Here is a 25094-nt window from a genome sequence, read left to right as displayed (position 1 = left end):
CCTGCCTCAGCCTCCTGAGTAGCTGGGACTACAGGCATCCGCCACCATGCCCGGCTAATTTTTTGTATTTTAGTAGAGACGGGGTTTCACCATGTTAGCCAGGATGGTCTAGATCTCCTGACCTCGTGATCCACCCGCCTTGGCCTCCTAAAGTGCTGGGATTACAGGCTTGAGCCACCGCGCCGGGCCAACTGTCATTATTTTTAAAGCTTCACTGTGTTCCTTGCTCCTGTGTCCTTTGTCTAAATTCTTCTAACTTTGATGAGCCAAATTCTACACATAGTTTCACCCAGAGAACCTGCAGGCTCAAGAAAAAAATACTATTATAATAATATATGATGATATAAGATTGGTTAGAAGATGCTAAGGAGAATCCAAGCAATCAGAGAAAAATAAAACCAAGCTCCCTGTCTTTGATATAGCACATCTTGGGGAAAGATCAAGTCAGAAAAGCAGATGGCCGGCCTGGCTCATTGTGGAATTGGTATTCTGAGATAACTTACAGGTCCCAAACCATGTCGCTGTAAGGTGTTCTGAGAAAGAACATTTGACTGCTACCCAGACCCCTCTGCAGGTTCTTCTGTTTAGGGAGAATGGGAGGCAAAACACTACAAAACCTGTAGGCTTTAGAAATAGACAGACTAGCTGTGTGACCTTGGGGAAATTGCCTAACTTCTCTGAGCCTCAGTTTGCTCACCTGGTAAAAGGGAGATAATATTTCCCTTTCAGGGTTGTGATGAGGATGAAATGGAAAAACCATCTGATATGTGCTTGTCATAGATTATCAACAGCTGTTACCTCTCTTCTATGTACTGAAAAAGCCATCTGTTACCCTAATTCATAAAAAGGAGGGGAGGGCAGGGATGGTTTGAGCTTGGACATTTTCTGGCCTTTCTCAATGACAATTTAGAATGCAGTGAGGGGAAAGCTTTTATTTTTGAATATTTCTATTTCACTGTCTCACTGGGTCACTCTGGGGCCTCTAGAAATTGTATTCTCCAGATATAGTATGATGTTGTCAGCATATGCATACATTTTTATCACTTCTTTAGTTTATCTTTGTATAAACCACATATATCTGGGAAATTTAACCAACTGCCTTTCTACAAGTGGTGTCATATTTAGGCAGATGGTTACTTTTTGGGTACACAATTGTGTAGGGAAGCCATCTTGCACTGAGACTCTGAGACCATGGGCTTCCCAGCCTTAGCATCTTACTTACTGTCACCTCTCTAGGCTTTAGAGGGGTTGATTATTGGGTTTCTAAAATCCTTCTAAATTTCCCAAATTCTATGGTTCAAAGTCTTTGTGTAACTGTCCAATAGAACAAGCATATAAGTGGCCAAACTTCTGTGATGATACTCCTTTCCCCTAAAGCCAGTGAATCTTCTGAACATTCAGAAATTGGGATACTGGTGAATATGCCACAGTGGAAATGCATAGGTAACTTCAACAAGCAAATAATCTTCAATGATGAATCAATATCTTCTAATCCACTGAGCCTAAAGCTGCAACTGTTTGAGATTCATTAAGGATTCTTAAATCTAACATGTATTTGTCATTTTGAATTATGGCCATATGCTTTGCAGATGGCCTCTGAGTGGGTCTTCCTTATTCAAGAAGGAGTAGGGTCACATTCATTATTTGTACATTACTTTTTTAAAGATTCATGGGATTAAAGGATGAAATCAGAACTCAGACAATCCAGGAGCAACCTGCGTGGATGAGAATAGTCATCTTCCATATTCCACATGGGATCTGTACTTTCAGTTAAAATATTTATATAATTATGGTATCATTAAAAAAGTCATTTCCAGATCTCACTGACTTCGTTGATGAATCACCCACTCACCGGTTTAAGTTACATGTGACAAGACAGCTTCTATTACTATTTTGTTTCTTGTTCTTGGATTCCATGAGATATCTATACTTAGCAATATGATACTCTCCTCTTTTATTTGCACTAGGGTGAACGTATTTCTCTTTCAAGCAACCAAAAAAGTCCTGGCTGGAACAGAGGAGGCGATGGCAGGCCATTGCTAAACTTTGCTGTGTTGTGGCAGTACAGTTTCTGTCCCTTTTATCTTGTTAACTGTCAGTACTCCAAACAAGCGAGTAGAACAATTGCCATCCGTTCAGCATGAAGAACCCCATGGAAGGGATCTAGAGGGAGATGTCACACCATAGATGTACTGAGTGAGATGGTATCATGGTGGCCATTCCTCAAAATATCAGCACTGCCCTCCAGAATCCACCCAGATGACATTGATCAAGCATCTACTGTAAGCCAGACACTTGGAGAGGTGCTGGGAATACAGAGATGAGAAAGACAGGGTATTTGCTCTTGGGTGGTTCATTCCATAATGATAGCAACAACTTATATAGAACCTGTTCTATGCCAGGCATTGTTTTAAATGCTTCATGTATGTTAGCTTGTGTGATCTTCAGAACAACCCCATGAGGTGGGAACTATTCTTACCATCCCTGTTTTATAGACAGGGAAACTGAAACACAGAGAATCTGGGTAACTTGCCCTAGTTACATAGCTAGTGAGGAGCAGAACCAGAATCCAAACCTAAGCAGTCAGCTCCAGAGTTGGGCTCCCCACTGGCACATTCTGCTTGTACTCTCCTTTTCTCTGATAATCCCATGACATCTTTATCTCCTTAAGCCATATAGCATTTTCTTAGGCTTATTTCTTTCATAATAACCATTATAAAAATAACAACAACAAAAAATACTTTCAACCAAAAAAGGCAGAAAAAAGGCAACACAACATAACAAAATTAATTTACCCAGGTCCCATTACTGTTGTCATTTTAGTTTATGTCCTTTAAATTTGTGTCAAACTAACATAGTATTTTCAGGCATGCTTTTTTCTTTTAGGATTATGCCAGAGTTTCCCCACTATATTCTTTTTTGACATAACTTTTAATACACTACCAGTTTGAGTGTTTTCCAGTCATGGCTACACTATACAATTGACTTAACTGATCCCTTACTCTTGGACATGCCTAAAATTCCTCTGTCATAACACTGTTGTGAACATCTTTGCATATGTATTTTTTTCTATATGTCTGATAATTTTCTTAGATGGTGTAGGCTTTTAACTTTTGGAGCGTGCAGGTAGGAAAAGCAGGATCAGTTTTCAGATTCAGATTCAAAAGAAACATTTAAGCTTTTTTCACTCCTAGAGAGCTGGAAACAATAATACCTTAAAGGTCTAAAGCATGATCTAGATCATTCACCTACCCTTTAGGAGGACTTTTTTTTTTTTTTGAGACTGAGTCTCGCTCTGTTGCCCAAGCTGGAGTGCAGTGGCGTGATCGCAGCTCACTGCAACCTCTGCCTCCTGGGTTCAAGTGATTCTCCTGCCTCAGCCTCCCATGTAGCTGGGGCTACAGGCACCTGCCACCACGCCCAGCTAATTTTTGTATTTTTAGTAGAGACAGGGTTTCACCATGTTGGCCAGGCTGGGCTTGAACTCCTGAGCTCAAGTGATCCACCCACCTCGGCCTCCCAAAGTGCTGGGATTATAGGCGTGAGCCACCGCACCCAGCCTTAGGAGGAATGTTAAAACTTATGCTTTGTCCTTTTGGAAATATCATGTATCTTCTTCCTATGAAATGGATTCATGATGTTCCATTATAAGTTAGCTAAACAAAGATTTCACTGGTCTAGTTGCCCCTGTGGCCCATCTTGAAGAATCACTCTATGGAATGATGGGCAATCAAACACAAGAGGATCAGGAAGAAACAAAATAGGTTTAACAGAATCTCTGTAATAGTGAAAATATCGACAGGTTGACAAGGACCACAGGGAAAGCACAGTATGAAACAAATGGTAAGTAAAGGTCCAACAAGTGGTGGGTGATTCAGTGAAGAGACAGCAATGCAGAGTGGTTACCACGGGCCTTGTAGGAACATGGAGCTGAGTTTGATTTCATTTCTTAGTTTCTGTGTCATCTTGCACAAGTTGTTCCATTTTTCTAAGCCTCAGTATCTTCATCTGTAAAATGGGCATGTTATCATACCTGCTTCATAAGGTTGTTGTGGGAATCTAACCAATCATGTAAGTACAGATACAGTTACTGTTTGTTGGCTTTGTGCAGGGTACTGTATTTTTACAATTTCATCATCATTTTCTTCATTGTCACTTCACTCAGTGGAAGGGGACTATGTGATAAGAGATCAGTACTCATTGTTGCAGAACATGAAATCATCATAGTTGTGTGTTTCTGGGAAAGACAATAAATTAAAAGGTGCAATATGACACTTACAAGAAATACGTACTCCCCTTTGTTTTCCTGAAGTACAAAGTAGGATCAGGTTGGAATTTCCCGCCTGTCTTCTGAGGCAAACAAGAGCAGTTTGGGGGCCTCGCTGAGGGGGCTGGTGTCCTCTGAACCAGCAGGGTAGGCATGAGTGGACAGGCTGTGGCTTGTACTTCAGTGTCCCTCTGATGTTTTTAAAAATTGACAGCTATTGAAGATTTTTCGGGCTGTTCTTGGTGGGACTCAAACTCAAAGAGAAAGAAGGGGTGATCTTTATGGGTAAGGTAACTGGGATGTCTAGGGATTCAGCAGGCTTTGGATACAGCAGACAGAGGGCTGAAAGGCTATCTAGACTTTGCTACTCTCCCCATCTTTTGGTTGGGTTTTCTTCTGGGTTGTTGTCCTTTCAGGCAATGATGGGTTTGGCAGCTCAAGACTTACAGCATCCTCAGAGAAAATGATTTCAGCAATGGAAAGTGCCTCTTTTCTGATACTTCTAGGAAGAGGCCCAGAGAAGAGTCTCATTGGCTGGGCTTCAGCCACACCCATTCTTGGGCTGACCACTGTAGGAAAGGATTGCTCTGATTGCCCAGTCTGGATCACCGTGTGATGACAATCACACGATGGGATGACATGGAAAAGGTGGCTGCCCAAAAAGCTGCCCGAATGATGAAAATAAGAGAAAAGAAACAAAGGGATGAAAGGAGGAAAATATATGTGGCTACTGCAAACTCTTAAAAAAATCTCATAATTGAGTAACTTATACCTGAGCTCTGTAATACTTCACTCCAACTTAGTTTGTCAAGGAGTTTTCTTTTCTTTTCCTTCTCTTTTCTTCTACCTCCATCCCCACTACGTGTAATTTTGTCAGATGTTGTCTTCTATTGCCTGAAACTTTAGCAGTCACTGTGAATCCTGTTTCTTTAAGCCCAGGGTGTCATTGGGAGCATAACAGTCATCCAGTGCAGCTCAGCTTCTCCCTACAGATTCTAAAAATACCCAGAGGCACTCAAAACAAACAGCGAAGCACTGAGGCACTGCCCGTGCAGACACCCACACACTCCCCTCTTTAAACTGCCTTAGCGCTGTCACTATAGGGAGAATCAGCAACTCACGCAGCCCTTTTATTTATTTATTTTGTTTTTATTTATATACCTCTTTATGCAGAAGAGATGAGGGGTTCCTGATGGAACAGAATTGATTGGAAGAAAGGGAAAGAGGGAGACAAACAGCAAAAGTGTTTGCACTGTCTTTTTGCAGCTCGCTGTAGACCTGAACTAAGATGTATCGAGAGATCAGACCAATCCAGGGAGTCGCACAGATTAGCTGGGATTTAAAATAAAACTCTTTAACAAGAGATCACCTAGAATAACTCGCACATATGCATCCATGAAGAGGCCCAAGGACCACATTTGGAGAAGGTTAGTGCTCACAATGACCAGGGCTACAACCTGGCTTATTTTTCAGAAGCAAAGCAAAAGCCAAGGCCTTTTCCATGGAATCTTTAGGTGGAGTCGAACCACCCAGAGCATCAGGGTGTTCTTATGTCAAGGAGGTGTTTCATTTCACAGGACTGCAGAGCTGAGGGTATTGGCATTGCATGCTGTGCATCTACAGTTTGGGAACTTGCTTAATGTTGATTGTCTTATCAAACCAGTGAGCTCTTGGGTTTTTCAAAAGCAGGCTGAGGGATTAAATGATAAAATCAGATGGATTATGAAAATATGAGAATCATGGGAATTATAACAGGTATGACCTTTTATAGATTGCCTGGGACAATCAGGTGTCTGCTTAACATAATGAACCTGACCCGGTATCAGCGTGCAAGTAAAGTCTTTGCAGTCGGTGGTTAAATGGAGTTTATTAAATATTGTTAGTGATAATCATGGAAAGGAGAATTTAAAATGGCCATAGCTTCTAACCAACTCTGGGGATGTCTGGATGACATTTGTTTTGGCTGTTGGGATTCGCCACGTAAGTAATTGATTGCCCAGAAGTTGTTCTCAGATCAAGCTTTCAATTGGCCGGTTTATGGCAGGATCCTGGGATTTAAATTAAAAAGTGAAGCCTTAAGGATAAGCATAAGTAAGTTCTTGGGACAGAATGTGCTTAGCATTGTTTCCATCCATAAGTGAGTGGAGGAAGCCTGCGTGCCCCGGACATATGCTTTTCACTGGGAAAGGCGATCAAATGTCTCTCTTCCTCTCTCCCTAGACTGATTCTCATGGAGAGTCCTTGGCATGTTCTCAAGCCTGAAGCAAAGGCTTCTAAGCTCCCAAATTGCTAGGTGATCTCTCCCGAGGAATATGTCCGAGGCACAGGTGCCATGTTCTTTGTGGGTGGGAGTTTGCTTACCCAGGATTTTATGTCTGGCTTAAAAAAAAGTCTGTATTGCCTATTGAAATTGCATTGTCTAAATGTGGCAAAGGATTTGCAATAGTTTTGTGAATCAGGGCAGTCTAAAAATTTTATTAGTAATAACAGTAGCAGCAGCAATAACAAAGGCTGGCATTTACATAGACTTCCTATGTGCCGGGCACTGCCCTCTGTGTCACAATTTTTCTTTTTTTTTGAGACAGAGTTTTGCTCTTGTTGCCCAGGCTAGAGTGCAATGGCATGATCTCGTCTCACTGCAACCTCCACCTCCCAGCTTCAAGCGATACTCCTGCCTTAGCCTCCTGAGTAGCTGGGATTACAGTCATGTCACCACCACGCCTGGCTACTTTTGTATTTTTAGTAGACATGGGGTTTCTCCATGTTGGCCAGGCTGGTCTCGAACTCCTGACCTCAGGTGATCCATCCCCCTCGGCCTCCCAAAGTGCTGGGATTACAGGCATGAGTCACTGCGCCTGGCCATGTGTCACAAATTTTAATGCATTTAATTCACAGACAATGGAGCTTCAGACTTACCCCTCCATCTTCTCCTTCCCCTTCCATGAGCTACATTTAGCCGCATTGGCTATGCATCCTTGCCAATCTGGCCAGGTATTGCCAACTTTAACTGCATCCTTATAGACAACTATTCATAGAGCTTAACTGAAGAGAACCACGGGTTATATATTAGTCTGGAGACACTCTTGCCTGTCACACTCTTGTTGCTTTTGTGAGCAGTAAGTTCAAGGCACAAGACTTATCAATCCAATTGAGAGCTTCAGTTACAGGCAGACTTATTTTTTCACCCTGTCCTTCTTGTCTCCAATGCATTGGAAAGGTTCTTAATCTTATACTAGGTGGTTCTTAGTTTTCATGAAAATTTTCAGTTATTCCTAAAGACACAAATTGCTGATGTGAATAAGGGTGAGCGCTTTCAGAGATAAAGATGCTAACAAATCAGTGCAGGTTTGTGACAATTTTAAACTGCTTCAGACCAGCTAGCATCAATATTTTTTCTTGGTATTTCTTCTGTTTTTGATGAACGATGTCTACTATGCAGCCACAAGCTAATACTGCTGTCTTCCCAGGAGGCAGGGCCCTGGTGTCTTGGGTATCATCACCCAAACAACGTTTCAGAATAATCAGTCCCTAAAGTAATGCTTTGCAAAGGCATCAAGCCACTGTGATTTGAGCCTGGGCTTTAGGATCTGGGGGTTCTGCCTTTTTCTAAATTTGCATATTGCTTTTCCCGTTCAGAATTTGGAGTTAGTAACTGTGGAAGGGCTTTTGGGATGGGAGGCAGTGGTGGTGCTGATTATGTTTCCAAGTGTAAAACCAATCAGCTGGGTTTGGATTTCTGGGAGCTTGTGTGGTTCTGTATGGCTTTATTCTTCTGGCTGAAACTACTAAAGGAACCTCCAAGTTCCTGCACAATGTTGCTTCCATTTGCCATGTGCAAGTATTTTTATTTATCAATGGCCAGTTAGTGAAATAGGTTGTGAATCTGTGTTTCTTAAAGAAAAGCCAACACTGGGATAAAGAAAAAGAATGCTTGCAATTTTCTAGATAAGCTAGAACATGTCAGTATGTAAAATGAGAAAACAAAACAAAAACGTTTCTTTCTGTTCAGGGTCTGAATTATCTGGATTTGACAAATACGACAGGCAAAGTCAATGGAATAATCAGCATGAATATGCCTATTCAGGCCTATCTTTGCAGCTTACTTTTTAGGGGTTGTTGGGAGGTTCCTTTCTTGGTATCTACTTGATGATTTTTTTTCATCTTGCGAGTCTTCCTTGGAAATAGAATGAATGAAGAGAGCACAGACCTCGGCCATCAGGGATGTGTGGGCTTAAGTTCTGACATAGCCACTTAGCTCTCTGGTGCTGGACAAGTTCCTTAGCCTTTCTGAGCCTCAGTTATCTCACGAAAATAGAGTTGATCATCATCCCCCTTTGGTAACGAACAGATGGAATGACGGGTGTAGAGCATCTGTTACACAGTGCATGCTCTGTGGCATTCATCTGGCTGACCTGCAGCCCACTCTCTGAGTTGAGAACAAACCAGGGATGATTTGACAGAGATAGCCAGTCCAATATTGGTTGAAACAAGAAAGTTTGAAAAGGAAAAAGATGCCTACAGTCTCTTGAGACACGTGGTTTCCATTCTCTATCCCAACTTTACTGCTGACTTGCTGTACATCCTTGGGAAGTTGCTTAACCCCTCTGACCTTCAATTTCCTGATCTGTGAGATGGGAATAATATTAATGGCTCCTTCCTCCTAAGGATGTAGTGAGCGCTAAATGAGTTAATGGGGATAGAGTGTTTACGTCAGTGCCCCGCACATTGGAAGGGGGGACATACACCTATTTCTGCTTTACCATTCTGCCTGTCAGCCATTCTGATCTTCATGAAGACACTTGGCCTGCTCATTCCTCAGTGGTTATAGTACCAGCTGCATTTCTGGAAGCTCACTGCTGGCTACAAAATGACCTTCAACCTCCAAGTGATCCAGGCTTTTCCTAGCAGCTTCCATCAATGTGCAGGGGTTGAGGAAATTTGTCGAATAGCGACATTGAGGATATGAGTCAAAGAGAGGGGGAGATGATAGATTCATATCTTGAAGCATGTGGAAGTAATCTGGTTTTTGTTTTTGCTTTTTTTTCTGAAGCAGATCCAGGTGTCTAAATGTAACCATTGCCGGCTTAAAAAAAATTATTATTCACAATTGAAAACAGATATAATGTTAAATCAAGATGAGTAATTATTCACATACATAAGTGGAAACAGGATAATTTGGTTACAATTATAAAGATAAACATGTTGGTTTTTAACCCAAGAATGGCAGTGGCTTTGATCCTTTTTTCATTTACATTTTTTGTCTTTTGAAAATTTTTAAAAATTTCAGACAATTTTAGACTTATAGAAGAATTGGAAAAATAATACATAGAGTTCCCACATTCTCCTCCCTCAGCTTCCTTTAATGGTATCGTACGTATTACATAACCATAGAGCATTGATCGAAACTAAGAAATTAACTTTGCAACAATTGCTAGAATTTACTTGGATTTCATATTTTTCCAGTAATGTTCTCTCTCTGTTCTAGGATCCAATCCAGGTCCTGCACTGCATTTAGTTGTCATGTCTCTGTAGCTTCCTCCCATCTGAGATAGTTCCTCGGTCTTTCCATGTCTTTTCATGATCTTGACACTTTCAAAGAGGGTTTTTTTTTTTTTAATAGAATACCTCTCAATCTGGGATTGTCTAATATTTTCTCCATTTCTAGCTTTTAATTGACTGCACTAAACATACTTTACTGTTTAGGCCAAGGATCCAGTGACAAATAGGAGTTTTTAAGCCTAATAGATTGTCTAGATATTTCTGAGACTAGCCTGGCTGGTTATTACTGATACTGGAGGTTAGGAGTATGGACTGTGGAGCCAGACAGCCTGGATTCCGCTTCTGGCTCTGTGACTTACCTGCTGTGTGACTTTGCAAATGTTACTTGACTTCTCTGTGCCTTGATGTCCTAGTCTACCAATTGGGGATAATAATAGAATCAATTCTTAGGGTCACGGTGAAGATCAAGTAGAAGTATGAAGTGTGTAGAACAGTTTTTCACAGGTGGTGATCACTCAGTCTGTCTTAGCTTTTACCATTGCTCACCCTCCTCTGTAGCCCTCCTCATCCCAGTCCAGGCCCAGTGACCTGCTGATGCCACTGCCCGGGTCTGCAAGTACTTGTGTGGCTCTGACCAGAGTGACGACTTTGCAGCAAGGACCTGGGGTTTTTAGACATGGTTCTCGTGGCCCAACTGAAATAGCCACCTTGACTGGAGGGCCCAAAGCTTGGATGCTACTACCACACGGGGGTTCCATCTCCAGGGCCTCCTGCTGTGCTCAGCTCACCAGCCACCCACATCCTGCAACCTGCACCTGCAGTCGTGAGATCTACTCAGAAATGGCCCCAGGCCCGCTTCTTCTACTCTGCTTTACTGACCACTTTGTTCTGGGGGTTTTTGTCCTCTCACCTGTGTCTCCTCTCTTCCCCTTGTTCCTCTGAATTCACGTGAAGCGGGGAACCACAATGATAACACATTCAGCTTCTCTGGAAGGACTGACTGGGTTTGCTTCTCAGCCATAATTCAACTTCAATCTGGGCTTCAATGTCTTGGTATCTAAAAGAGGATGATCGTAGTAATAATAAGTATCATTAAATGTAATGAGGTTTTATTCTCTGCAGGGCACTACTTTATTATTTTTATTTTTTATTTTTTGTTATACAATTTTTATCTGAAAAATCCATGTTACACAAATAGTCATACAGTAAGTCCTCACTTAATGTGTAAAATAGGTTCTTGAAAACTGCGGTTTTTAAAAAGTGAAACAATGTTGCTATATGCCATTCAAATACCTTTTGTTTGTATCAATTAAACTATGGTAAAATTTGTTTTCTTAAGCAATATGTTGCTTCACTTACAGTTACAGCTTCCAAGAACCTGTCAACATTAAGAACTGACTATACACATGTACGATTTATATAGGTATGTGTATGTGTATCACCTTACACATTTATATATATAGATATATCTTAATGACACAGTGCCAGCAGGCTCCCTACTAAGTATAAGACAAAATTATAAGATAATAGTTATTAAAAAATAATAGATGGCTTAATATTTGCTTAGCAATGTTCTAAGCTCATTAATGACACAGGACATTTAAAAAATCTAGAAGGTGAGTAGATACTTTTAACCAGTGGTGTCCAACCAACCCTTTGAATGAGAGGACTTTTTTGCTTATCTGTGGTACAAATATCATGAAAACTATACACAAACCCTTTTTCTTTTTAGCTCATCAGCTATCATTAGTGTTAGTGTATTTTATGTGTGGCCCAAGACAATGTTTCTTCTTCCAATATGGCCGGGGAAGTCAAAAGGTTGGACACTCGTTCTTTAAATTTGGGGTTTGGCTACTGTCTCATCTATCTTCAAATTGTAGGTCTCTTTTCTTTGCTCCAGACAGGTGACCAGATCTAGGGAGGCCAGGTCTCTGTAATTCTCCAACAACACATCGCTATTTAAATTCTGCTGGGCAGGGTCCAGGCATTTCCACTCTTCTGGAGAGAATTCTGTGGCCACATCCCTGAATGTTAAGAGTTCCATTTCTCAGCTTCGGGAGTGTCTTGGAGTCTTAGCTATAAATCATTCAAAGCCAGCAAGTCACAGAGCGAGGGAGGCTGTGGTAGAATCACCTAGGCATCCCAGAGCAGAGGACACAGGGCAGTGAAGCCCTAACCTGCAGGGCACTACTTTAAATGTCACCTCTATTATTTTATTTAATCTTCATCACAAATGTATGACATATCTACTAACATAATCCCACTTCACAGATGAGGAAGCTGAGAAACACAGAGTTTAAGTAACTTGCTCAAGATCACACAGCTAAGACACGGAGGAGTCAGCATTCAAACTCAACCTGGCTTTGGAGCCGACGTTCTTAGGTACTACATGTGAGGGTTAAATAAGGTAATCTGCATGGAGTACTTAGCAAAGTGCCTGGCTCAGAGTTAATACTTTGAACTTGAGCTATATTAATCCCATGATCTGATTTCTGTTTCCTCTGCCTCCTGGTGTATATGACTCTGGGATGCTGTGTTAATCATTGACCCAGTGCTCTGTATCATGGCAATGGCTCCTTGCCCAGTTCTCAGACAAGTATGCCCCTTGCCCATGCTGCATTAGCCCTACCACTTCCTGCCCAGCAGATGGGGCACCCACAGCCCCTCACCTTGTTGCAGCACAGCCTGCAGCCCTCTCCCTGTTTCACATCTACTCATTTTCTGGGGTCTTTCCTGCGTTCCCACTTAGTTTCACCTTGTACCTCAACCTTTGTTTCTGCTTCTCTCACCCTTGTTTCTACCTTCTGCTCTCACCCACAGCCTGACCTCAGCCCCTCCCTAGACCAGCTGCTCCCCAGCCCTTTGCTTGGTTCCTGGGACCTGTTGTTTGGCACAGTCTAGGGGCAGAAGATCATGACTGGCATCCCTACCGGGTTTGTCCCATTCATGAGGGGGCCCAACCTGGCTATGGAAACAGCAGCACTTGGTCATGGGTCTTGAGGTCTGAAAGAAGGTGTTGAATGGAGAAAGGAGCTGAAAGGGCAGCTGCTCCTGCAGAAGGGACAGTGAGCAGGAGCAGGGGTGGCCACCATCTCACACGCCCTTGCCTCTTCCTGTGACTGGGCCCTGCTCCTCCAGGCTTTATCAAGTCACCATCTCTGAGAGAAGGTGCCCCAGTGCCCCACACATGGCTCATGCCCTGCTCTGGTGTGTCGTGCTTCTGAAATGTGGATCCCTGGGTTGTACATAGGCCTGAATCTCTGATCATGCTGTGAGCAGTGGGCAGAAGCCAGATGCCCCAGCCAGGCTGCCTGGGCTTGCATCCCAAACTACCATGTGCTAAACAAGTTCGAGCAAGTTACCCAAATCCTCTGTGCCTCAGTTTCCCCACCTGTAAAATGAAGATCCTTAAAAATACCAACCTCACAAACTTATTTTAAGGATTAAATGAATTAATCTAAATGAAGGGCTTAGAATGGTTCCTGGTGAAAAATAGTTATTGATTATAATTCTAAGAGTTATTGATTATAATTACAAGAATTATTGATTTTAATCATTGGTTGTAGATTCTTACTTTGAGTTATTGATTACAATTTATTATTGTCTATAAGTGCTATTGATTATAATTATAACCTACTGTAATTACCTTGATGATAATTATTGCTACAATAATAAGTTATTGATTATAATTCTTACTATGACTGGGAACTTCTTGAGGCCACCCAAAGCACCATACTCATATTTGTGGCTGGTCCTTTGCTAGGTCCTTCCTGGTTATTGAGAATAAGTTTGCAATAATCACCTGTGAAACTGAGGATAAATATCTCAAATAAATTGTATGGAGTGTGTACTTGAGAGATACTAAAATAACAGGAAAAGCTAATAATCTAGCTTTGGGAGTTGTCATGTGGCTAAATGCCCAGTCCCCAGAGCCACCAAAGCAGGGGAGAGGGGACCAATACACATGGTGACACCATAAGATAGCATAGCAGAATGAAGCCATCACCTGGGTGGCGTGATTTGTTGATGAAGGCTCTGTAAGTGAGGAGGGTCTGGTCCAGCTGAAAAATGAGTGAAAGATGCATCTGATCCTAAGAGACAAGAGAGGCCAAGGGGCAGCCTTGTAGTTTCTCTTTACCAGGCATACTTCCTTCCCTTGCCCTCTCCATCCCTTCTCTACTTTCTCTCCAAGTCACCTCTTTGTTTACTCCCTTCTGTCCTACATTGCACCCCTTTTGGTAGTTGCAGACAGTGGTGAAGGCACCATGACTGATGGGGGAGCCAGCTGCTGGGCCAGACCCCAAGGCTTCTTCATGCATTGTCCAGGAGTATTAGTGGCTCCAGAACTCTCAGGCTACTATCATTTTGTTTTGCATTTGCTTTTCCAACTGAAACAATTTTAGACCTGTAGCCTGGTTGAGTGAATTTCAAGATCAGGTAGAATAGTGCTTCTTACTGAAACTCTCATGTGTTTAAGAATCACCTAGGATTCTGATGGAAATGTGGTTTCTCATTCTGCAGGTCTGGTTGGGGCCTGGGGTTCTGCATTTGTATGGGGCTCCTAGGTGAAGTGGATGGTTGCTTGGGTGCACTCTGAGTAGCAAGAAGTCAGCCTGTTAATTCAGCTAATTGTACTTCTGACTGTTCAGCAAAGAAACAAAACTGTGAAAGTCTCTCAAGTATCGTTGCAGATGTTGCCTACTCCTAAAAACATTAAATGAGGTCACAGAGTCTCCCTTTGCAAAGATCTCAAGGCATCATGGGTGTGTTCCCACCCCTGGTGGTACTAAGGGAAACGAAGTCACAGGTTCAGGTTTCAATTCTCAGGGGACCCATCAGCTTCACTTTGCTCCACTGTTGTAGACTGCCCAGTGGCCATTGGTCACCAAAGTCATTGTAGTTGACAGATGGTGGCAGGGAGATGAAGAGTGAGAACAATCAGTAAAACCTGAGAGAGGAGGTTCTGAGGGTCCAGCTGGACCATGGTGGATACTTGCCTATGTCACTAGGAAGGGAGGGAATGTGGATTGGAGCCAAGTTGGTGCTGTATCAAAGTCATGAGGGAAGCTCATAAACAAGAGGCAAATGAAACAATGGGAAACAAGGAAATGGGGCTTGCATTCAGAGTTTCAACAGTGGGTGAGACAAAGTAGGTTGCTTTAGGATGAATGAGGCAAAGGGTTCTCACTGAGGGTAGCCACCTGGCCTACAGGTGCTGGACCAAAGTGAACACAGATGAGTCAACTCCACCCATTGTCTCTGCAAGAAAACAGCTCAAAACTCACCCCATGAATGAGAGAGGAAGATGCCACCCTTTGGGACTGTCTGTACCCTGGCAGAAATGGAATGATTTATCCAAATAAGCAAGGCAAGTTTTCATATATTTCATGTATTCTTGCATATATCTTAGCCATCTTTTCTTTTCCTGGGCCACTCAGCATGTGCAGCTCATGTTCTTCTTGGCCTGGGAGGTCATGGAAATTCTACCTGGCTGCTGCAATGCTGGGGAGGGATACTCAGCAATGGGGATTTCACTTTCTGCCATCCAGTTCTTCTTTCAGACACTGCCTCCAGTGAGACAGCCTCTCACATAAGATGGAAAGATGCACCTGCTCTCATTCCCCGCACTGAGCCCTCCTCTCTGCTCTTAGCTCTGGGTGGGAGCTGCTCTCTACCTCTCATGAAACCAGAGTACACCTTATAACACTCACTCTGTTCTTTGGGCTTCTCCTCCAACCCATATGTACCCTCTGTCAGGCTGCTGAGTATTTGCTAAGACCCCAGTCTTCTTTTCTCTTGGTGAGGCACAGTTGCCCAAAGTCACCACTGTCCTTGTTCACTTGAGAGCTGAAGTAACTTAGGTAGTTATTTCAGAAGAGATAATTTGACTCCTTCTTTGAGGAGGCTTAGCCCGGCACTGACAATGTGCCACCACTAAAGGTACCTAGGAAGAGGTGGAGGAATATTCTGTGGCCACTCCTGCCTCATCACTTTCCCTAAAGAGAGTGAGCTCTGGAATCACATAAACCTAGCCCCAGTTCTTAGAGGATCACATGCTTGACCTTCAGCAAGGCCAAGCCTGTTTCCTCAACTGAAGAATGGGGCAAGTAACACTGTATTTCCACATCAAGGTGTTGTGCAGGTTAAATTGGATGCTGTGTATAAAGCCCTTGCCTGGCTGATGGTTTAAGTGCATTATAAGTATTAACAATTATTGTTACTGACAACTGTGCTACAGCCTATTGGAGGGTCACGTATACTTTTCCCTTCATGCCTTTGCCCACACTGTTCTGCCTGAATCATCCTCCCTCTTCACCCCCACCCAATTTTGTGAGTCTGGTAAGTTTTACTTTACCTTATCCCAAATTCTTGATTTCTGACAACCAGATACTTTATTCCTATATGGACTGTTTCTTACTTGACTGGCTAGGGATCCTTATATTATGATTTTTGTTAGCATTAGTTATATATTTGAGTTACTGCCATGCTATCCTGCCCCAGCTCCTGCCTGAATACATACACCTTGTCATCTGGGCTGACGATGATGATCAGTTCTTAGAGGGCAAGGTCAGCTTTGTGTCACTTGCAAGGCAGAGCTTAAGAGGCAGTCAATAAAAATTCAGAATAAATGTATTGAATCTTGAAGTAGAAATTCTAAGTTCTTTTTAGGGATGTGTATGTGGCTGTGTCATTCTCTGGTAGGTGTGACGATCTCATGTGTGGGACAATGCTTTGGTAAGCATCAACAAAATGTCAGACCATTTAGCTTCTTTATCCCCAAGGCCCCATGGCTTTTTATTTCCAACCTCCAGCATGAGTTTCCATTCATTCTTTACATATTTTGTTTTGCTTCAGCTGGGGAGTGGGAGAGAGCCTCAAGGCATCTGGTAAGGAACCTGGAGCTTGGTAAGCTGATTCTAGTATGAGGATGGAAACCTACAACACAATCAGAGCTCATGAGTGATGCTGAAATATAACTTGTAATTTTTATACTGAAAGTGTTCAATCTCTCACCTTCCCTCACCTCGAGTTACATGACAAAAGGCCCTCTTTATTACTTTTGTCTCTAGAGCCCCCAGTCTCTGGGAAGGTGGTGGGGGAAAAAGTCTATTCTGGGATGTGTTATTTTTGCTGCCCACATATTATCCACTCCAGAGCAGGACTTGATGTTTTAAAACCAGGGAGAAGCCTCGGGAAGGGAAAGCAAGCAGCATATGTAGTATGAGCTCTCCCAGACTTGTGTTTTTCTATAATGTTAAAGTCTTCTCTCTAGGCAGTGATTTGAAGTGGAGCTTAATTAAAATCAGGCAAGAAGTGTAGAAATGGAACATTAAAAATAGAAAGGTACAGGAATGGCACTGTCCATCCCACCCCTGTCATAATGTCAGTGGCAGGGCTCTGCACTTCATTTTGCTTCTCCAAGTGGTGCTAGACAAGACCTCTGTCCTCATCTGCTTTCCTACACAAAATGGCATATCCCAGGGTAAGCTGGCATGCTTTGGGGGCCAAAGACGTGTCAGGGACATCATGGCTGGGCCTGAATCTACCCCAGCTGATAGCTTATGTGTATGCACCATTGTTCTCTGTATTTCAGTGTAAGGCAGCTAAGCAAGCCTGCAGAGCTAGGAAAAATAAAACAGGACAACAGTAAACATCTCTGACTTAAAATATTCATGACAACCCTTGCTGCTTTTTAGAACAGTTGTTTAGTAGAGTGGGAAAAGCAAGGCTACGTGAGCTTGATAGATTACTCAACTGGACCTTACTTTCTTTATGTGTAGAATGGATATCAAAATGCCTACCATATAGATTTGATGATAATCAATAATAATGTCAGCCATAATTGATTGAGCATGACTGCAGGCCAAGCATTTTTTGAAAGTCTTTAGGAGGTAGGGACTATGATTATCCCCATTTTGCAGACCAGGAAAGAGAAGCTCAGGGAGGTTTAGTGACTTTTCCAAAATCACACAGCTAGGAAGTGGTAAAGCAGGACTCAGACCTGCAGCTGACAAGCTGTAAATTCTGTGTTGTCAGTAGCTCAACCATACCTGAGTAAAGATCCAGGGAAATCATATAGCTTTACTCAAAGTGTGAAATGAATGTTCTGATGAATTGAAAGATGATTTTAGGGGGCACATGAGATGATTGGGGGTGCATTGATGAGGGATTAAGTTATGTCCTATCATGGGGTGAGAAAATTATTCCTTTTTAAATTCTTTTTCAATCTTTCTGAGTATGACAAGGATTAAACTTTGATTAGGTGGTGCTGTGCCTTCAACACCGTCTAATACTTTTTAACCTCCATTTTTAACAAACAGAGCAGATAGCAGAGGCTTAGCAGACAATAATATCTAGCTAGAATTCAGTAAAAAATGGTTTTATGTCATATTCATTTTCACTTCCACCCTCTATTTATGGCAGGTGATACTGGATTTTTATTGATGGTAGTGATCTAAAATTTTGTCTTAGAATACACTTACTGGAGTACAAAGAATCAGTCAGTGTTCAACACTATTACAGAAATAATACTAGAGGTGGCGTTCACATAGGGCAAAAATAGCAGAGGCTGAACATGAATGACTCAAGCATGAGAAATGCTGTGATAGCCTGTGAGCAGTTTTCAGCTGATGGTAGCACGTGGATCATAATAAACGTCAAGGACAGAGTGAAGGAAAAATGTAACTCTCTCTTCTGATCTCTTAATAGGAGAAAAGAAATGAGCTGCTTATGAACTAGATGAAACAGTCTTCTGACATTTTGGGTATGAATTTAGCCTGTTCTGAAGGCTGATGGGTAAAGCAGGGGTTCGGGAAAATGGAGTTTGCTTTGGTCTTCATTGAACCATAGAAGCTGAGTGCTGGGGACGGAACTTAAGCTCAGGATCAGATCCTGTGTTAGACACATGAGGGTCCAGATGCAGAAGGCATTTCCCCCAAGGTCACCCTGGCTGAGAGCAACTGCAGTGTGAATAATTATTTCATCCATTTCTGGGTCAAGTTCCTCATCTTGAGTCTCTTTTTCCCACAACAGCCACCAGGCATGAACTGGCCCATGGTAAAACCCAGATAGCTCAGGGTCAAATCTACCAGTTATTGTAGGTGCTCACCAATGCCCTGGCACTGCACAAAGCACCATGCATTACAAAGAAACTCCACAAAGAGAAGGAAGTAAACAACTGTCTCCAAACTCAAGGAGATGACAGGGTTATGCTATATGATTTTTACCCTTAGATGAGTATCATTTGGGAGGTAAGTAGCAAGTCTGCTATGATAGAGTCAGTTAGGAAGGTCCTCCCAGGAGTGAGAAGCCCTGTATTAGTCAGCTTTGACCAGGTTCTGCTTCAATAACAACCACTCCCATGTTTCAGTGATTTCCAACAACAAAATTTGATTTTGTGTCTGTTACACATTGGTTGCAGGGCAACTGCATGCATTTACTGTACCTTCTTCACCTAGGACCCGGGCTGAAGCAGCAGCCAGGGCCACACCTCTCTTAAACCAGAGGGGAAAAGAGCAATAGCAGAACCATGGGGAACTTCCTAATGCTTCTACTTGGAAGTGGCATGTGTTACTTCTGTTTTGTGTTGGTTTGGGTTCCTAGGAGCAGATTTTACAACACGGCTTCAAACTCATACAGATTATTAGGGAGATATAGGAAACATCAATCAGGGAATGGAGAAATGAGACAAGGAAGGCAGTCAGGAGAACATGTGTTATCAAGCTAGCTACCACTGTGGACAACTCCAGTTCAGTCCCATGGAGAAATTCTGGAAAACAGGGCAAATCATGTGCCTTAGAATTACCCTCCTGAGGAACAAGGGAGCTGGTATATTTACACAACCAAACCTTCCAGACATGGGTTGAAGGCTACTCCTGAGGAGTTTTAATTTCCTAGCACTTCCAGCCCGTGTGTACACACAGAGAGTAGCCTTCTAGCTTCCGAGAAAGCACTCAGACAAAGAGATAGATGCTAGCAGTTACAAGTTGGCTGGAGTGCATTAGAGGGACAGAGAGGAGGGACGTGAGTGGGGCACTGAGAGCATCTGAGACATGCTCACATTTCTTTATCCAAAGGAATTCACGTGGCAAAGGACGTCTTCAGGGATAGAGAAGTGTAATCCTCCCACAGAGGTGCAGCAATACTTGAGAACCAAAACAGGCCCTGAACCCTGATTCATAAGTATAATAAACTCTAGTTGACACAGTACATGTAATAGATGGTTAACTGAGAGCTACCATCCAGACCAGGGTGTTTTGACCTCAGCACTATTGACATTTGGGGCTGGCTAATTCTTTGCCGTGGAGGACTGTTTTATGCATTATAGCATGTTTAGCAGCATTCCTGTCCTCTACCCACTTGGTGCCCATAGCCTCCCTCCCCTCACCTCATAATTGTGACAACCAAACATGTCTCCAGGTGTTGCCACGTGTTCCTAGGGGAAAAGTCACCCCTGTAGAGAGCCACTGATGTAGACCATATATGCATTGCTAATTCCCAAGGAACTGAAATAAATTGTGGATGCCTCGATGGAGGTGTGCACAGCCTGATGGGAGAGACAGACAGACAGACATATAAACTGTAATGGCCAGTCCACCCTGGGTAACAACAATTTGAATTATGTAAAGAAAACAGAAATAGTTCAGGAGTGGTAAACATCACTTTTGTTGCAGGCTGGGGATGGTCAGGGAAGTCTGCAGAGACAGAGACAGCAGAGCGGGGTTTTAAAGGATGAAGAGGAGTTTTTCGGATGAGTGATCCCACATGTAGAAGTTAATGTTTCTGCTTGAAAATGGCATGTGTTACTTTGGTTCTGTGTTGGTTTGGGTTCCTAGGAGCAGATTTTACGACAAGGATTCAAACTCACACCGTTTATGATCTTTGGTGATTGTGGAGACTTGGGAATGCTACACTGAGACTGATGCTGGAAATGCTGACCTCAGAGCCAGGCTGATGGCAGGGCTGTAGTTACACCAGCTTTACCATATCATTGATCATGTGTAAGGAGCAATGTCAAGGGCTTTGGAGGCACTTAGAGGAGTTGCCCAAATGGCATGGATACAACCCAGCCCCAGAGGGACCAGAAGCACCTTTGCTGTATTATTTTAGTCAAGGGAGAAAGCCAGCTTATTCCTCGGCCTCCTCAGTATCATCTCCTGACCCATCCACTTTGATGTTTGTCCCATGTGTTGTGCAAACAAAACTGGATGTGGATTTGTCACTTAACATCTCTCTGCCTCAGTTTCTTGACCTGTTAAACAGAGATCATAAGGTTTTCTCTCTTGCTAGTTTCACAGTCTTACTCTAAAACGCATTGGCTGTGCGTTCAGATGAACCTGCCCTGCTCTGCCATCCACCAGGTATGGACTTCTTTTTCTCCATTTTCTCATCTGTAATATGGGCTTAATACCCACCTCACAGGGTTGTCTTGAGGACTGAATTGTGTGATGTCTATAAGCCCTCAGCCCTGCACCTGGCACACACAGTAAGAGAATAAATGACCATAAATATTAAGAAATAGGTTGAGTGTGCATAATGATAGCTAACTTGTATTGAGTGCAGGTGATGTTCCAGGCACCATCATGGGGGTGTGTATGTATTAACCTATGACTACAATAGGTATCCTGATTATCTCCATTTTACATATGAAGAAACTAAGGCTCAGGGAAATCTGATCACTTACCTAATGTGTGTAGTTAGTGAGTGGTATTCAAACTTCAGCAGACTGTTGAGCAAGTAATTGCTTTGCTGGATTGTTTAGTGCTTGGCATTTTACCATAGCTCTTTGAAAAGAAAATCAAGTCTTTAGGTAGATAGTTACATTCACCAAATGATTAGAGCCAGTGTAGCTACTACTGGGTAAATGAACTTTTCTTACTATTGACTGAGGCCCCTTTAGTACACTTACAGAATATTAATAAGAAAGTAGGTGAGAAGAAATGTATTTTTAATCACAGTATCTGAGCTGGCTTCTCAGTGTGAGTCTACATGGGTAGATGATGAATCACCCCAAACTGACCCTTTCCAGAAATGCCTTGTGAGGGCAGCACAAAGGAAAACTTTCCATTGCTTAACTCTCCCCACAGCCCCCACCCTCAGCTATTGAAATAAAATGCCAAGAGGCTGCTTGCCAGCTCCTGGACACCACCTCCAGAACAGCAGGGAGTGTCTTCTCTCCCTTTGTGGCAGGGACACATATGGTGTTCTTAGTGTCAGAGCAAGCAGACTCTGTTCCAAGAGCTGCTTTTCAATCCAGCCTCTGTGCATGGGATGGCAGCAATGGAAAACAGTGCAGGGTCCTGGGTCTGAGGGTCATCCTCTTTCTGCCGGTGCCCCTGCCACCTGCTAAGCTCTTGTCTTTGGTGGAACAGGAAATACCACTCAGTGCAGGTACAGACCTAGCCTGCCTTGTACACCTCCGTGTCCTGGTCCTTTGTAGATGCTTGAATGAGAACCAATCAGTGAGGAAAAGGTATGATGCCCCTCCTGTTCAAAACACCTATTGAGTACCAAGTACTACACCCAGATATCATTTTCTTCCTTCTTTCTTTGGCTCAGGTCCTAGCTCCAGACCTTGTCAGCCACGTGTCCTGGAGCAAGTTATTTTCTCTCTCTTTGCCTCATCAAGAAGATGGACATAATAATAATTCCGTGCAGAGAGTTGCTGGAAGAACTCAGTATAAAGCAACTGGCTGACAGAAAGTGCTCTAAGTGCTAGTTCCTCTGTCATTTTGAGACCAAGCCAGATGTGTTAGAGATGTCCCTGGGGGAACTTGTATCCTGGAATTTGACAGCCTGGAGAGATCTGAAGGCATTCTCTGGTCCTGTACCCCAAATGAGGTTTGAAACCCTCCAATGAGCTCCCTATTTTGTAAGTTACAAAACCTTTGGCAACCGAGAAGAGGCATCTGTAGCAACTTTAGCTGTGTCCCAAGCTCCAAGCCATCCGCCCTTCCTTCCCCACTACCAGGCAACAGCCTGCTGTCTGCCTCCTACTCAGACATCCACGGTCTGGAACAACCCCAAAATTGTCATCTGGGGCAGAATACACAACACCCAAAAGATGGTTTTGCTTTCTGAACCTCACCTGCAGCCACTCCTGGCTTCTCCACTTCCCATCCTTTATGACATTCATGCTGCACACCTCCCCTTCTCTAGAGAGACAGTAAGCCTCTCCAGTGAGAGGCAGGGTGTGCAATAGTAACATGCATTGGCTCAGGAGTCCGACTTTGAGGGTCTGCCGCTGACCTGCTTTGTGAACTTCAGCAAGTTGCTCAGTCTCTCTGTGCCTTCTTCTTGTCCCCAATAGGAATAATAGTAGTGCTACCTCATCAGGTTTTTGAAAGATTCAAACAAGCCAAATGTGAAGCATTTAGAATGTGGCTGGCACATAGTAAGTCTTCAGTGAAGATTAGCTAGTATCATTGTCCTAAAGTGATAAATGTCACCAAAAGGGGGAGTAGATGCTGCAACTAGAAGTTGGATGTAGTCAGGCTGCTAAGACATGAGACCTGAAAATCCAGTTTGCTGTGGATTTGCCATGGATTCCCATGGCGACTCTCAAAAGCAAAGTTGCTCAAAGGCCATTTAAGGCTCATAAAGTCAATGGTTGTTTTGCCTAAGAAATTTTTGTGGAATGAACAAATACAACATAGTAAGGATAATCATAATAGTTACCATATGTTGCATGCCACATTCCAGGCACTTTCACATGTATTGATGGAATTAATTTTCACTACAGTCCCGTGAATAGTTATTATTATTATCATCTGTTGTATGAATGAAGTATTTGAGGTTCACAGATGTTAGATAATCTGTCCAAGGCCACACAGCTCATGAGTGTTGAAAGTAGGATTGGAATCTCAGGTGGTGCTCCAAAAGATGTCCACTGCAGGCCACAGGATTCTTTATTTTAACATATTTATCTATGGCTGCTATTAGGAACCAACTGAAGAACAGTCCTCTCTCAGATGTTATATCTCCTGTGAAAATTTCAGATTGGGATTGAAATGGCCCAGGGAGGGGCCAGAGACAGCTATGAAAGAGCCACAGATATGGTGAGGAGTGTGTCTAGATGATCCAGACACCTGCGGGGATTGTGCAGAGCAGAGCTCTGCATCAGGCCACATGCAAAACATCTTGGGCATCTGCTGTCTGGGGTAGATGGTAGTTTGGAGAGTCCCCTGGCCCGATCTCCACCATTGCCTATACCAGGTGAGAACTGAAGCTCCATTCTCTGTGCTAACCTCTGGTCAGATTAATAATTCTATATAGCAGCCTGAATCCTACCAATATGATGACAAAAGTCTTTAATTATTTATTTATTTTTGAGACAGGGTCTCACTGTGTCTATCACCTAGGCTAGAGTGCAGTGGTGTGAACGTGGCTCACTGCAGCCTCAACCTCCCAGGCTCAAGTGATCCTCTACTTCAGCCCTTGGAGTAGCTGAGACTGCAGGCAGGCATCACCATGCCCAGTTAATTTTTGTATTTTTGTGGAAGACTTGGTTTTGCCATGTTGTCCAGGGTGGTCTTGAACTCCTAGGCTCAAGGAGTCCTCCTGCCTAGGCCTCCCAAAGTGCTGAGATTACAGGTGTGAGCCACCGTACCCAGCTGACAAAAGCCTTTATTCCTTTCTACCCTAAGACTAAATCCAACTCTGTGGCTTAGACTCAGAGTCCTCTGTGTTCTCACCCATTTGTCCCCTCTTCTTAACCTAAAGGATTGCCATGATATGGGAGATTTTGATGCCTGACAAGGGGTGGGGGAAGCAGAAAGGAGGAGCGAGTAACAAAGGCCTTCTCCAGAAGTGAGGGAGGCCAGCCTGGACACAGAGGGCCTGTGTGCTATGTTAGGGAGCTTGATCTTTATATAGAAGACTATTGCTTCAGAGTATGTTCCTTGGATCAATAAATCCATACATCTATATAGTTCTTACATAAGAAAAATAAAACAAACAAAAAGTTAACATGTTCTGGGTAACTTTGGGTATGGCTTGGTTAAGCAAAGTTGAATGTTTCTTCACTGCAGAATTTCTCAGAGCCTTTAATAAACTAATGTACATTCTTAGCCTCCAAAAGTGGGCAGCTCTGTCAAATCTGATTTGACCCCCATCATCTTAAAATGCAGGAGCAGGCCAGTCATGGTGGCTCATGCCTATAATCCCAGCATTTTGCGAGGCTGAGGCAGGTGAATCACTTGAGGTCAGGAGTTTGAGACCACCCTGGCCAACATGGTGAAACCCCATCTCTACTAAACATACAAAAATTAGTTGGGCATGCTGGTGGGCACCTGTAGTCCCAGCTACTCAGGAGGCTGAGACAGGAAAA

The 25094-nt window shown here is 43.1% G+C and overlaps 1 protein-coding gene across 13 annotated transcripts in view; it reads left to right on the top strand.

Moving 5' to 3' along the window:
- The window catches only part of SLC1A2 (solute carrier family 1 member 2), a 169303-nt gene that overhangs the window by 34433 nt on the left and 109776 nt on the right, over positions 1-25094 (top strand). The window contains exon 2 of one of the 13 annotated variants that reach the window (NM_001252652.2): positions 14979-15134. The exons of 11 other annotated variants lie outside the window; for them this stretch is intronic. Coding sequence is in view for 1 of the 2 variants with exons in the window: in XM_017018136.1 (XP_016873625.1) it covers positions 5663-5694 (32 nt within the window). In the remaining variant the exon portion in view is untranslated. Of the gene's footprint in view, positions 1-4788; positions 5695-14978; positions 15135-25094 lie in introns of those variants that run through there. One more of the 13 variants, XM_017018136.1, reaches the window with a different exon arrangement.

Source organism: Homo sapiens, chromosome 11, assembly GCF_000001405.40.
Source record: "Homo sapiens chromosome 11, GRCh38.p14 Primary Assembly".
Taxonomy (NCBI): Eukaryota; Metazoa; Chordata; class Mammalia; order Primates; family Hominidae; genus Homo; species Homo sapiens.
Note: the sequence above shows the minus strand (reverse complement) of the source record. Positions and strands in the feature narration are given on the sequence as shown.